Source organism: Homo sapiens, chromosome 14 (assembly GCF_000001405.40).
Source record: "Homo sapiens chromosome 14, GRCh38.p14 Primary Assembly".
NCBI classification, from domain to species: Eukaryota; Metazoa; Chordata; class Mammalia; order Primates; family Hominidae; genus Homo; species Homo sapiens.
In genome coordinates, this window is record NC_000014.9 from 61641945 (window position 1) to 61656076 (window position 14132).

General features: G+C 38.6%; 1 long non-coding RNA gene across 1 annotated transcript in view; it reads left to right on the forward strand.

The window, feature by feature from the left end:
• The window catches only part of LINC03033 (long intergenic non-protein coding RNA 3033), an 84174-nt gene extending 71405 nt beyond the window's left edge, over positions 1 to 12769 (forward strand). Inside the window, exons 2-3 of the long non-coding RNA NR_039985.1 lie at positions 9018 to 9073; positions 11679 to 12769. This is a non-coding gene — a long non-coding RNA (long intergenic non-protein coding RNA 3033). The remainder of the gene's footprint in view (positions 1 to 9017; positions 9074 to 11678) is intronic.
• Positions 12770 to 14132: the final 1363 nt, after the last annotated feature.

A 14132-nucleotide genomic window follows, 5' to 3' on the forward strand; every position in this document is an offset into this window, starting at 1 on the left:
CATTAGATTTCTAGATTTGTTTATATCTGCTACTTTATATCCTTTGACCCATATCACTGCATTTCCTCTCCTCCCCTTGCCCATAGTAACCACTATTTTACTCACTGTTTCTGTATATGAGACCTCTTTTTAAAACTAATCCACATATACGTGAGATCATGCAATATTTTTCTTTCTGTGTCTGGCATATTTCACTCAGCATGTCCTCCACACCCATCCACACCCATTCTTCTTTTTTTCTTTTCTTTAAGGCTGAATAAAATGAGTTTAATATGGCCTGGCTTTCAAAGAAATGGATACATAAACAAAGAATTACAATATGATGTAATAAAATAAAACTTTATATTTTATAAACAGTAAGATCGTTGCATAAGAAAGGGAATGATCAAAATGTAAGTGGGCAAAAAGGCTTCCTGGAGTAAATGGAATACGAATTTGGCTTTATGAGATGAATAGGAGTTTGTGAGGTGGCTATGTGTGGGAAGGGCATTCCAAGCAAAGGGAACAAGACGTGCAAAGGCAAAGACACACAAATGACTACCATGTGTCCTAGGCACTAAATGTGAGTCAGCACTGCTGAAGCAAAACGTGCTCTAGGAGGCAGCTGGAGAGGAAGGCAGGGCAGCAGTCAGTGGAGCACGATGCATGGAGGTGTGTTCCAAGTAACCTAACAGCAGGAGCAGACTGAAGATGATTTCTTTTCTGTTTTTATTTTGTTTAAATTAAATTAGAGTATCTATCCCTGTAAAAGTTTCATCAGTTCCATTCTCATATGAATTCTTGAGTGGGAGGGACAGAGGCATTGACTTCATCATGCTATGAGTTGAGCATCACCTGTGTCCCCCGAGGGAAGTGTGTCATACAAGTGAACAGTCTTTCATGGCATCATGGCAAGGAAAGGGAGTGCTGCCTACGGGTTGCAGAGAGACAAGGGGTTTAAAGCGGGAGTATATGTTGGTCAGATTCACGTTTAGCAAGATCCCCCTGATAGCACTGTGATGAACTGTTTGTATTGGATGGTGGGAGGCATAATGGGTTAGTATTTTAGGGCTTCTAAACAAATTGCCACAAACTAAGAGGCTTAAAACAACAGAAAAATTATTTTCTCATCATTATAGAGACCAGAAGTCTGAAATCAAGGTATCATCACACTCCTCCTGGAGGCTACAGGGGAGAATCCTTCCTTGCCTTTTCAAGCCTCTGGTGGCTATTGCCAGTCCTTGGCTTCCTTGGCTCGTGGCCACATCCATTCATTCTCTGACTCCATCTTCATATTGCCTTCTCCTCTGTGTGTTTGTTGTGTCCTCTTCTGTCTCTTAGAGGGACACTTGGGACTGGAGTTAAGGCCCACTGGGGAATCCAGGAAGATCTCATCTCAAGATCCTTAATTACATCTGCAGAGACTTTTTCCAAGTAAGGTAGCATTCACAGTTTCCAGGGATTTGGACATGGATATATCTGTGTGGGGACCACCATTCAACCCATCACACAGAAGAATCTTATTTCTGAACCTATGATCAGCAAACCAACTGCATTAGGATCTCATGGAGTGCTGCACTTTATGAGTTGCACACTACTAGACCGGAGATGCGGACTCAGGAGGTGTCAGCCAGCCACCATGAGGACAACCTTGTGATGAGCGTGGGAACTAGAATTAGAATGATCAGGAGTCACTAGTGACTTGAAAGTAGAGATGAGGAGGATGAGGTTGAACATAATGACTTCTGGGTGTCATCACGGGACAACTTACTGAGATGAGAATGCAGGGAGAAAGCATAGTATCCTAGGAATCTCAACAGTTGGAAAGACTAGTGAGATCATCCTGTCTAGCCCTTACACATGATTCAGGATTTCCCTTTTTGGTATCCTTTACAAATGATCATGCAACTTTGATTTAAGCAACTGACTTTACTGAAACCAAAGTTGCATGATCATTTGTAAAGGATTTGTCTGACTGTCTTGTCTGTTTCCTTCACCAGCTTATAAACTGAATGAGAAAAGAGGCCACGTTTCTTGGGTTCACAGTTATTTCCCCAGAACCTGATAGAGTACCTGTAAGCATGAAGGTTCTCAATATGTATTTTTTGGGGGGACTTTTGGTGGTGGTGGCTGTTGTTAAAACTACTTTATTGAGATATGATTGTCATACAAAAAGCTGTACATATTTAATGTATACAGTTTGATGAGTTTGGAGATGTGTTCACCCATGTAAATATGTGTTTTTGAATGAATGGGTGAATGAATGAGCAACTTTGGTGACAGGAAGATGTAGAAACTAGGTAAGAATTAGAATGGTTAACAAGAGTTATTCCAGTGGTTACTCTTCCATTTGGGGCAGCTCTAATTTCATGTTCCTCTTTATACAGTTGCTTATTTTGTTCCCTAGGTCACTCAGAGTGAGTCTAGCCCTTCCTCTATGTGAAAATTTATTTCAAATACAAAGAGAACTGTTGTGCTCCCTAAGTCTCCTCCTCTCTGGCTAAGTATCTTCATTTACTTTAACCACATGGCCTGTTTTAGTCCTGTTTTAGAAATGCATCACAATTCTAGTTGTTCTCCTTTCATTCACTCAACAAATATTTATGAGCATCCACTGAGTGCTCTGTACCAGGGCTCTGTATGCAGTAGGGGGAAAAAAGAGACATGCACTTGCCTTCCACCTCATCAGTGTTCCTCTGAAGTTATTAAACATAGCAATCCCCAGAACTAAGAAAAGCAGATGCCCCTTCCTTTGTACTGGGTATGTTCTCTTTTACTACTACAGTATATCTAAATAAGAGATACTGGTTCTTCCACTTGCTTTTTTGCAGTACTAGATGTGGTATTTCTTGTTGTTTGTACAGCCATGGACCATGAATTAAGTGTGACTTTTCTTTTGGGTACAAGAGCATATATACATAGAAGGATATAGATGGTATGCACAACACAACCATCTACATTCATCCATCCCTTACAAATAGAATACGTGTTTGCACTCTTTGATAAAGGTAATGCAATGCTCAGAAAAGCGCCCCAGCATCTAGAGGAGCAGGGTGTTTTTCAGGCATCTGTGAGAAACAGATGCTCTGTCAAGCCAGGGACAGGGGCTCAGGTTACATCCTGTGTTCAGTGAAGCACATCAGAATCATTTGCCTAGTACAGCCTCAAGTAATTGTTTTATTTCTTATTCTTCTATTATTTTATGCATTTTTTCTACTTTTAATAATGAAATAAACCCATAATAAAACAAAAATAATTCAACAAAACTGATGGGATTTTTTTTTTTCATTGCAAATGTCTGTTTAACTAATTTGTTCACTAATGGAGGCTCCCAAGCTTCAGAAAAGATATTCTCCTTTAAGGGAACACAGATGTTTGACTTAAAATTCCATATTTGTGACATTTCAATATTGGTATCCTCATTTTTTTTTTACTAATGAAATTGTAAGAAAACAAAATCTGCTTGTCCTACAGCAATTTGGCTGTGATTCAAAAACTTTTTATTAAAATGAAGTAATATGTTCTGCAAATCTAATTGCAGAGGAATTAGACACACTAAACCAAATAGTCATCTGTGATACAAAATGAAATAAACTAGAGAAAAACCATTTCAGGAAATAGACAGTAGAAAGAGGTTCTAAGGAATGGCTGTCTGCTTCTATTGTGATCATTTCTGTGTTCAGTTTTGATGTTTTTTAATGAAATATTTTAACCTTAGACCTCATTTTCTTTATTTTCCTTTTTGCCCTGTCTTATGGTATGATCAGACCTCATTTTTAAATGACACATTTATTTCACTAACATTGTACTTATGTAGTTGAAGTGAATGGATTAGGATCATTGACCAACTTAATTGTATATAAATGCAAATGACAATATATCTGTTGGAGTTATAATAATGGTTAGAAAATAGGGAAGAATGACAAGAGAAGTTTAGTGGAAGGTGGGTATGGACATAACGAGAGTGCATGGGTAAAACTAGCCAAAATTGTTTGGCTGCTTTAATTTGCCTCAGTCTTCAACTTTAAATAAGAAGATTTAATCAATTAGATTACTTGCAGTATAACTATTTCAATTCTCCAAACACCATTAGGTTATCTGTTCTTCGGGCCAAATTCAATGCCACGTACAAGGTAAATGCTGAATATTTGCAGAATGAATGAATGAACTAATGGACAAATAAATGCCACACTTCTTCCTTTTTTTTTGTCTTGATAGGAGTGTAGGTCAGTAAAGACCTCAAAGTTCTGATGCCTGTAATCGAGATACAAACATTTGACTCAACTAATAGAGAACTATCTTTTGCATTAGAGTTATAAACAGAACACTAGATGAATTTTCATATTATTCTTCTCTAGTAAAGACATTAGGTCACAATTAGCATTTACTTGAAATGTTTGTATATTTAAATTTCTCTATATATTTATATTATTAAATTGTTGTGACTAGAATGTAGTTTTATTTATAAATGGTTTCCAAACTATACTCTAGCCATGATCAGTTGGATAATTCAGTGTTTTTATAACTGATACCAATCATTGCAAGTTATTTGAAATCCTGATGATCCTCACGGATAGCTCTAGTCACGTCCCACACATACTTCTAGCCCAAGATGAACAGGTTGCAACAAAGATGTGTTTGTGCACGCATGTATGTGTATATGTGTGTGCATGTGTGTGTGTGTGTGTGTGTGTGTGTGTGAAAGCATTGTGGATATTTTGTGTTTGCTTATTTTGTAAACACAATATTAATCTTTGCTTGTCAGTCCTTGAGGATTTTTGCACTTTCACTGTTTATATAAGCAACCAAATGAAAATAAAAAGTCAACTTGACCCTATAGAATAGGCTGTGGTGTATTCTGAAATAACATTCTTCTTCAAACTTTCTCATTAATTGCCAGCCTGCTCAGCGACTGCCAGAATATGATTAACCTTCTTAGATCAGTTCCCACTGTTGTGCAATGCATTCTAAAATATAGCAGCAAATGAATATATGATGTCACAGAGACAAAAATTCTGCAGGTAAAAACTAGCATAAAGCAGATAAGCATTCTCTGGCTGGGATACAGAGTTTTCAAACCTCTTAAACCTTAAAACCTTACTCTGAAAACACTACATACCAGATGTAAACTGCCCAAACTTGTTTTTGAACGGATTCATTTTATGTCCATAGAATTTAATGCACAGATTCATGTTCATGCAGTTCAATTCATAGATTTTTAAACTGTTTCAGTACTTAGCCCATTGATTGATCTAAGAGCCTAGATATTAAAATGAAGTCTGTTGTTCTTTTTATTCATTAAAGACAAGAAAAGACTATTTCTGTCAATGGTTATTGGATTATCCTACTTGACTATAAACAGATCCCTCCCCTACCATGCATGTGCACAAAAATTACCAGAGCCTTTCCTAAATTGATTGTGAGGTCAATTGCTTTGATGTCACTGAGGCTCCCATATTGTCCGAGGTTGCAGGGAAAAGAGGTTGGGGGAATAATCTCATTTCTAGGGGAAGAAGCATAGGAATAAGAATCAAAAGATTCACATTCTAATCTTGGCCCAGCCTCCAAACAGCAGTGTGACGTGGTCCAAGAAGTGGCGCTGCCCTAAACACTCATTACATCTTCACAGCATGAACAGGTACATTTAGATAGGTGCTGCAGTATCCCCTTTTACAGGTGAAAAGATTTAGATACTTTCCCTGTGTCAGGCCGTAGGTTAGGATCAGAGCCAGGATTCTGCCTGGAACAGGTTGGCTCCTGTACTGCTATTTTAGAGATATTGTGATAATGCATGTGAAAGAACTTTGAAAAATATAAAGAATGATTATTCTTACACAGTAGGGTCACTCAATAGATGTATTTACGTACTGAAAATTGGAATGAGGGTGGAAGAAATAGTGAAATAACTGACGGTGTTGGCTGTCGATGATCGTAGGGGTAGTCACCACCTGATTTTGAGGAGTGGCACATGCTAGCTAAGTAGGCCAGAGAAGCTAAACACAGTCTTACCATATGATTCAGCATTTGAACTTTTAGGTGTTTACCCAACTGATTTGAGATTTATATCCACATAAAAACCTGCAAACAAATATTTATAGCGGCTGTATTCATAATGACCAAAAACTGGGGGCAAATAAGATGTCCTTCAATAGGTGAATGGATAAATAAACTGTGGTACAGTCAGTTGCTGGAATATTATTTGATGATAAAAATAAATGAGCTGTTGAATCACAAAAAGACATGAATGAATCTTAAATGCGTAGTTCCAAGTGAAACAATCCGATCTGAAAGGCTACATATTGTATGTTTACAATTACATGACATTCTGGAAAAGGCAAAACTATGGAGACATTAAAAAAATGCATTGATTTCCAGGGGCTCAGGGAGAGGGGAGGAAGGATTAAATAGGTTAAGCAGGAGGAATTTCTTAGAGTGGTAAAACTGTTCGCATAATACTGTAATTATGGATACATGACAATGCATATATCAAAATCCATGGAACTTTATAGAACAAAGAGTAAACATTAGTGTATGCACATTTTAAAGATCATTTAGAAGGTCAAGGGTCCTAGAATGGACTGCAGTGACAAAACAATCTAACTGTACTAAAAATCTATAAAGCAACTTCACTGAAGGAAGTGGGAGGAAAAGATGCTGAGCTAAGTGATTTTGGAAATGAGAGGAGTCTGTAAGACTAAAGGCAAAAGAAAATGTACATAAAACTGTACTTAATAAAGTTGTTTCCCATAAGGTTTCAAGTTAACAATTCTAATACTGCTCTACATTTATACCAGAATTAGCAATTAAGTAAATGCATGGTGGATGGTGGGAGCCAGATTTCTCATGGGGTTCACAGATAAACAATGGGAATAGGCTAGACTGGTCCATGTGGTAATGAATTAGAGTTGGGGCTATCAGTATGAATTCACTCATGTTTAGCTTAACATAGATACCTATGGTTACATATAGAAATATTTATAGATATTTGTACATATATACAGAGCTTAGTATACATATTTCCTTGTTGCGTCAGCTAAGAGAGCCTAGAAAGCAATGACACCCCAGTAGCAAGGAGAACTTCTAGTGCCCAGATTTTGGTTTTAATACTGTTCTCCAGTAAAAGAAACTAGAGCTCCTTGGAGAAATTGCTGATTGTAAGATTGGGTTAGCATATATACAAGTTGGCCCTGGAGCATCTTGTAGTGCCAGAAAGTAAGTATCTAACACACACAGACACACACACACACACACACACACACACACACACACACACAAAATTATAAGAGGATCTCAAAGGGATACAGGAGCCAACTTCAACAGGAGCTCCTCATGGCCAAACCTGAAACAATGTGAACCACAAAATAATGCAGTATTAGACTATAAGCAAAAGTATAAAATAACTATGAGTTCATACTATTATAAGTGAATAATCGAATAAATAAATCGTGAAAAAATGACACATCTCCCATGCAGAAGAATTCCAAATAATGTCTTTAGATATTCTACACTCAAAGAGGTAGAACATAACCCCCTACTCCTTTGATGTGGGCTATATGTAGTGACTTCCTTCCAAAAGGTGCAGCATAGACATGGTTTAACTTTACAGCGAAGAACATGACAATAAGCCAAGCAATCAAGATCAATATCAACAGTAAGAAGTCATGTGGATGAAATGTACTCTTGATACAATGCAACAAAAAGCCTCTTTATCTTTGTGAATTTCTACCCAAAAACCCATAATCCAGTCTAATCGTGCAAAAAAAAAATCAGATAAATACCAATTAAGGAGCAGTCTACAAAATATTTGATGAGTATTCCTCAAAAACAGGGTAAATCTGAAAAATCATCACAGCCAAGAGGAGCCTGAGGAGACAGAACAACTAATGTAATATGGTATCCTGGATGAGATTCTGAAATAGAAGAAGGACATGAGGGGCCAGGCGCAGTGGCTCATGCCACTTGGGAGGCCAAGGCAGGTGGATCACCTGAGGTCAGAAATTCAAGACCAGCCTGGCCAACATGGTGAAACCCCGTCTCTACTAAAAATAAAAAAATTGGCTGGGCATGGTGGCTGGCACCTGTAATCCCAGCTACTCGCGAGGCTGAGGCAGGAGAATTGCTTGAATCTGGGAGGCAGAGGTTGCAGGGAGCCGAGATCACACCATTGTACCCCAGCCTGGGTGACAAGAGCAAAACTCTGTCTCAAAAAAAAAAAAAAAAAGGACATTAGATAAATACCAAAGAAATAGAAGGACATTAAATAAAAGCAAAACTGTCTCAAAAAAAAAAAGGACGTTAGATAAATACCAAGGAAATAGAAGGACATTAAATAAAAAGGACATTAGATAAATACCAAGGAAATAGAAGGACATTAGATAAATACCAAGGAAATCTGAATAAAGTATAGACTTGTTAATAATATACAGGTGTTGACTCACTAATGATAACAAATGTGCTATACAAATATAAGTTGTTAATAATAGGAGAAACTGGATATGGAGTACATAGGAACTCTCTTTACTATCTTTATAATGTTTTGTAAGTCCAAACTGCTCTAAAAAATAAAGTATATATATCCTTTTTAGTATATGTAAATATACTACAGAGAAGATTTTGGTTTTACCTAGATTACATCACTGAAAGATATTGATTTTCACCAACTCCATTAATTATTTTTTGATGTGGAGATAAAAGATATAATCAGACACAATCCTGTAAAAATCAATTCACCTCCTTGGATATCATGATGATTTTAGTCACATATGCTCCTTTTGGATGGACATACCTATAAGGAAAGAAATTTTTTTAAATGCAGAAGTATATTAAATTTATTTGTTAAATAAACAACGAACATCTCCAGATAGCAGCAAACGGCAAGGAATTACATCCAGCTATAATTTAACCAGCCCGCCTTAGGATTGCCGCTATTAGAGTTCAGTGGTGGTATAAACCATCTCTAGTGTATGCTTTTTCTATAGATGGTTTATTAGATGATTTACAATGAAATCGAACACATGACTGTTCTTTAACCCCTCCAGGAACCTGATGAAATGCCTGGTCTAACAGGAGGATGCAGAGAAAGTTATGAAGAGAGGTAGGTGAGCTTCTGTGTTATTTATTCTTGGTCCTGCAATATGGTCAGTGAAGCATCCTGAGCGCTCACCGTTTCCCAGTGCTATAAAGCAAATTGGATGGATGAGTGTGATTTAGAGGAGAAGGAAACTGCAGTTATCACTGCTTTACCTTGACCTCTGCCTGGAGACAAGGCTGAGAGGGTGACTACAAAATTAGAGCAACAACTAACATATGCTGGATACATATCCTGGGCCAGGATGATGCCAGGTATTTTACAGTCGGTCACTCCTCACAACAACCCTATGAGCAGCAGTCTCTTCCTTAAGATTTTGAGCGGGCCCAGTAATCACTACCCCTCTTCATCCCCTTAATTCTCAAAAAATTAAGATATAAGACAAAGGAGTAACAGATGAAGATGTTATAATATCACCTCTATTACTGATAAAGTCTCCCTTACAGTGCTAGTGGGAGCATAAATCGATATAGCCATTTTGGAAAACTAAACCTGAATATATGCATTCTCTATGCCCCAGCAATTCCACTCACAGAAATATACCCAGTAAAGTGTGTACGTATGCTCACCAAACGACATGTACTAGAATGCTCATAGTAGCACTATTTGTAAAACTGGAAAATACCCATTTGCCTGGCAACAGTAGAAGGGATCAATAAATCTTGGTATACTCACACAATAGATTATTATATAGCAATAAGAATGATCAAACCGTAATTACAGGCAACAATATAGATGAATATTGCAAATGTAACATACTGGCAAAAAAAACAGATGCAGAAGAGCATGAACTGTATGATTTCATTTATGCAAAGTACAAAAGTGGGAAAATGAATTGGGTTTTAGAAGTCAGTTCAAGATAGTTGTTGCCCTTGGGTGGGGACAGTGATTGAGAGGGAGGAGGCAGGAGACTTCTTGGGGACTAGCACTATTATTTTTCTTGAAATGAGTACTAGTTACTTGGGTGTGTTTGGTTGTGAAAATTATAGAGCGATACACAAGCAGTAAGCATCTTTACCATATATATAGTTCTTCAATTAAAAAAATTTTTAAATCCTCTCTTGATCCCGTCTTCCCATCCAACTACCACTATCTCTCCTCTTCCCTGTAAAGCAAATGTTTTTGAATGGAGTGTCTTTGCTCGCTGTGTCCAATGTCTGCATTCTCTCTTGAACCCAGTCCAGCAAACCTTTTGCCCTAGATTCTAAAAAGCTGCTCTTATAAAGATCAATGATGACTTGCATATGGCTAAACCCAATGCTCAGCTTGCCTCATTGTACTTACCAGCAGCATTCCATACAGAATATCACTCTCTGCATATTCTTTTGGTTTCTGTACACAGTATCCATCACTAGGTGAACTCATGGAGCCTCATGGCTTTAAATGCCCTGTCTGTACTGATGACTGTCTCATTTATATTTTCAGCCCAAATCTCTCCTTGGCACATCAGACTTGTGCATTCAATTGCCCACTCAACATCTCAAACATAATATATTCCAAACAGATGTCCTGATATCCTCCAAACCTGCCCTTCCCACATTCTCCTCCTTCTTATTAAGCTTCTCAGATCTACTCCATCCTTCCAGTTGTGTAGCCCCCAAACTTTGGAATAACCCTAAACTTCTCTTTTTTTTTCTCATACAATGCATCTAATCCATTAACCAGACCTGTTGATTCTACCTTCAAAATATATCCAGAATTTACCCACTTCTTGCTGCTTAGACTGCCACCATCCTGGTCCAATCCACCTTCCTCTCTTGCCTGAATTATCTCAATAGCCTTCTAGATGCTTCTTCCCTGCCCCTCACTGCCCTGCCCCTTGCCTCTGCCCTTGCTGCCCCACAACCTATTTCCTACAAAGAGCGATCCCAGTAAACAATAATCCAAATTATGTCATTTGTCTGCTCCAGACCCTCCTGTTTTCCATCTCACTTAGATGAAAAGGCAATTCCAGGCTGTGAACTTCAAGACTCTGTATGATCTGACCTCACACTGGCTTTCAAACCTCATCTTGCACACTGCTTCCCCAGTGTGCTCTGCGTTAGCCGCATGGGGATTTTTATGGGTCCCTGGACACTCCGGGCATTTCCCTGGCTCAGGGCGTTTGCATTGGCTGTTTCTGCTTACTGGAGTTCTCTTTCCCTGCTATATACATGGTTTTCTCTCTCATTTCCTTCAGGTCTTTCTTTACTCAAATGACATCTTTTTTAAAAGAGGATTTCTATCTAAAATTTTATACACATATCTCTGTATCCCCCTTCTCAGCATTTTTTTTTCTCCTTGGCACTTATCACTCTCATGTGTGTGTTTGTTCATGTATTTATTGACTGAGTGATTTTTTTCTCTCCCAATAAGCTGCAAACTCTGTGAAGACAGGGATATTTTTCCCATTTTTGCCCCATCATGCTGCAAGCCCAAGGTACAATTAGAACACATCCAATTCACTGTCCATCTACCTGTGGCACTTCAACCATGACCACAAACCAAATCACTCTTCCTGTATCACATTCCCTGAGAGACTTTGTTTTCTCCCACAGGAAAGATTTGTTTATTTTTCTGATTCAATCAAATGTACCACTAGTTTCTGCAGGATTATTTGTACCTCTTTCAGGATCCTGAGGAATTTGCTCCTGGGCCATGAAGATGGGAAGCTGAGTCAGAGTGCAGTTCTTCACCCAATCCCACAGCCACACGTGCCTGCTTGCTCACGGGATCTTCCCACTCTCCTCGGGAAGGCTTCCGAGCTGCTTCCTCAGGATGTCCTGTGATAGCAGCCTGACCTGTCAAAGCCATGCGAATACCATCTGTTCAGTTATATAACTTGAGATCTGGGAAGAATTCTCAACGTAGGATTTGCTGCCCAAATCAAATCATTTTCAGAAAGGAGATTAAGCATTCTTTGCTGGGAAAAGGAGAAATTACCAGAAAAAATTATCATTTCACTGAGTATAAACAAACCTTTGTCCAAAATACACAAATGAAAATGACAAATTTGCTTCATTAATATTTGCTTGCATTAAAAATATACACAGGGCTATGTATGGTTCAATATCTTAAGTGCAAAGTAAAATCTTAATTAGGAACAATGGAATTGTTAATTTAATGAATCTTAATTTTGTTTAGATCATTAGCCTGCAGTATAATGTCCCAAGCAGAATTTGGGGTGGGGAGCTTGGTGGTGGAAGAGGAAGTGCTCATTTCTACAGACATGACAAGATTATTAACACTAAAGAATGACTTTTCTTTCATGGGAGGGGAAGATATCTGACCCACCAGCAGTCAGACAGAAACCCTGACTTGTGATTTTAACATTACCTTATATGACCCATGGTCACCTTGTATGACCAAAGAAAACCATTTATGAAATAGCTGTCCGGAGTTCAAGATTTAAATGGTAACTTTGTAGACTAGGTTTTCTCTCATCATCTAATTTACTTGCCTTAACGCTTGTTTCTTTGCCCTTATTCCTACTGGCTCTCGAGTATAATATCCTGAGAATTTATGTTGAACAGCACTAATTTTTTCACTTGGAGCTAGCACATGTTTATGACTAGTACAAGTTTATAACTACAAAAAACAGAGATTTTGTCATCTTAAACTGAATTTACTGGGAATAAAATCAGTCAATTCAGAAAAGTATAACAAAGGAAATAAAAATCACCACAACTCCTACTACCTGAAGATTAAATGGTTAAAGTGTTTTGTATATTCTTCTGTAATTTTTACACCTACATGTTTTTTAAATAAAAATTAACCCTACCTATAAACCAAACAATATTATTTAACTAACAGGAGAAGAATAAATTATATTTTTTGATTGGCTGTATAGCAAAGAGAATCCTGCCATTCAGAAAAAAACAGGGTAAGACAAGGAAGGAAGCCAAATAGATGGACTGCAATGGAAGTTCACCCAGAATGAATAAATGAATGAATGAATGAATGAATGAATGGAGGAGCTATTTTACTGACTGTGGTCAGTCAGGGAACACCTATCAGAAAAAGCAGCATTTGGCCGGGGGCAGTGGCTCATGCCTGTAATCCCAGCACTTTGGGAGGCTGAGGCAGGCGGATCACCTGAGGTCAGGAGTTCGAGACCAGCCTGACCAACATGGTGAAACCCCGTCTCTACTAAAAATACAAAAATTAGCCGGGTATGGTGGCAGGCACCTGTAATCCAGCTACACCAGAGGCTGAGGCAGGAGAATCGCTTGAACCCAGGAGGCAGAGGTTGCAGTAAGCTGAGATTGCACCACTGCACTCGAGCCTGGTCAACAGAGCCAGACCCCGTCTCAAAAAACAAAAAAAAAAAGAAAGAAAGAAAGTAAGAAAAGAAAAGTAGAAACAGCCTTTGAGTAGAGACCAGTGAGCGATGGAACTCTGTAAGGATCTGGGGGAAAACTTATCTATCTGGTAGGAGGAAACCACAAGTGTGAAGGTAATGAGACAGGAGTGGAGTCAGTGAATTGGCGGAACAGAACAGCACAGAGGACCCTGGAGCTAGCCCGGGATGAGGCAGCGGAGAACAGCAGGAGACGACATGGAGGGAGACAGGTTTTTCCTTTTCCAGTTTTCTTCAGTTCTTTTGATTGACTCAGGAGAAGAGTCTTAGTTTGATATTAGCACATACTTAACACTTCTGGTGTTCACTACTCTATTTTTCAACAAAAAGACAGCAGACTTTGGGATCACAGCCTTCTGAGAGGATGGTATTTAACTAAAATATAATAACGTTGGTTTTTATTTTTTTTATTTTCACAATTACTATCTTTTCTTTTTTGATATAGGGTCTCACTCTGTTGCCCAGGCTGAGTGCAGTGACACCATCACAGCTCACTGCAGCCTCTAACTCCTGGACTCAGGAGGTGGGATCCTCCCCCCGCAGCCCCTCAAGTAGCTGGGACTGTAGGCATGCAGCACCACCTCCAGCTAATTTTTTACTTTTTGTAGAGATGGGGTCTTGCTATGTTGCCCAGGCTGGTCTCATACTTCCGGGCTCAAGCAATCCTCCCACCTTGGCTTCCCAAAGTGCTGGTATTACAGACATGAGCCACCGCACCCAGCACAC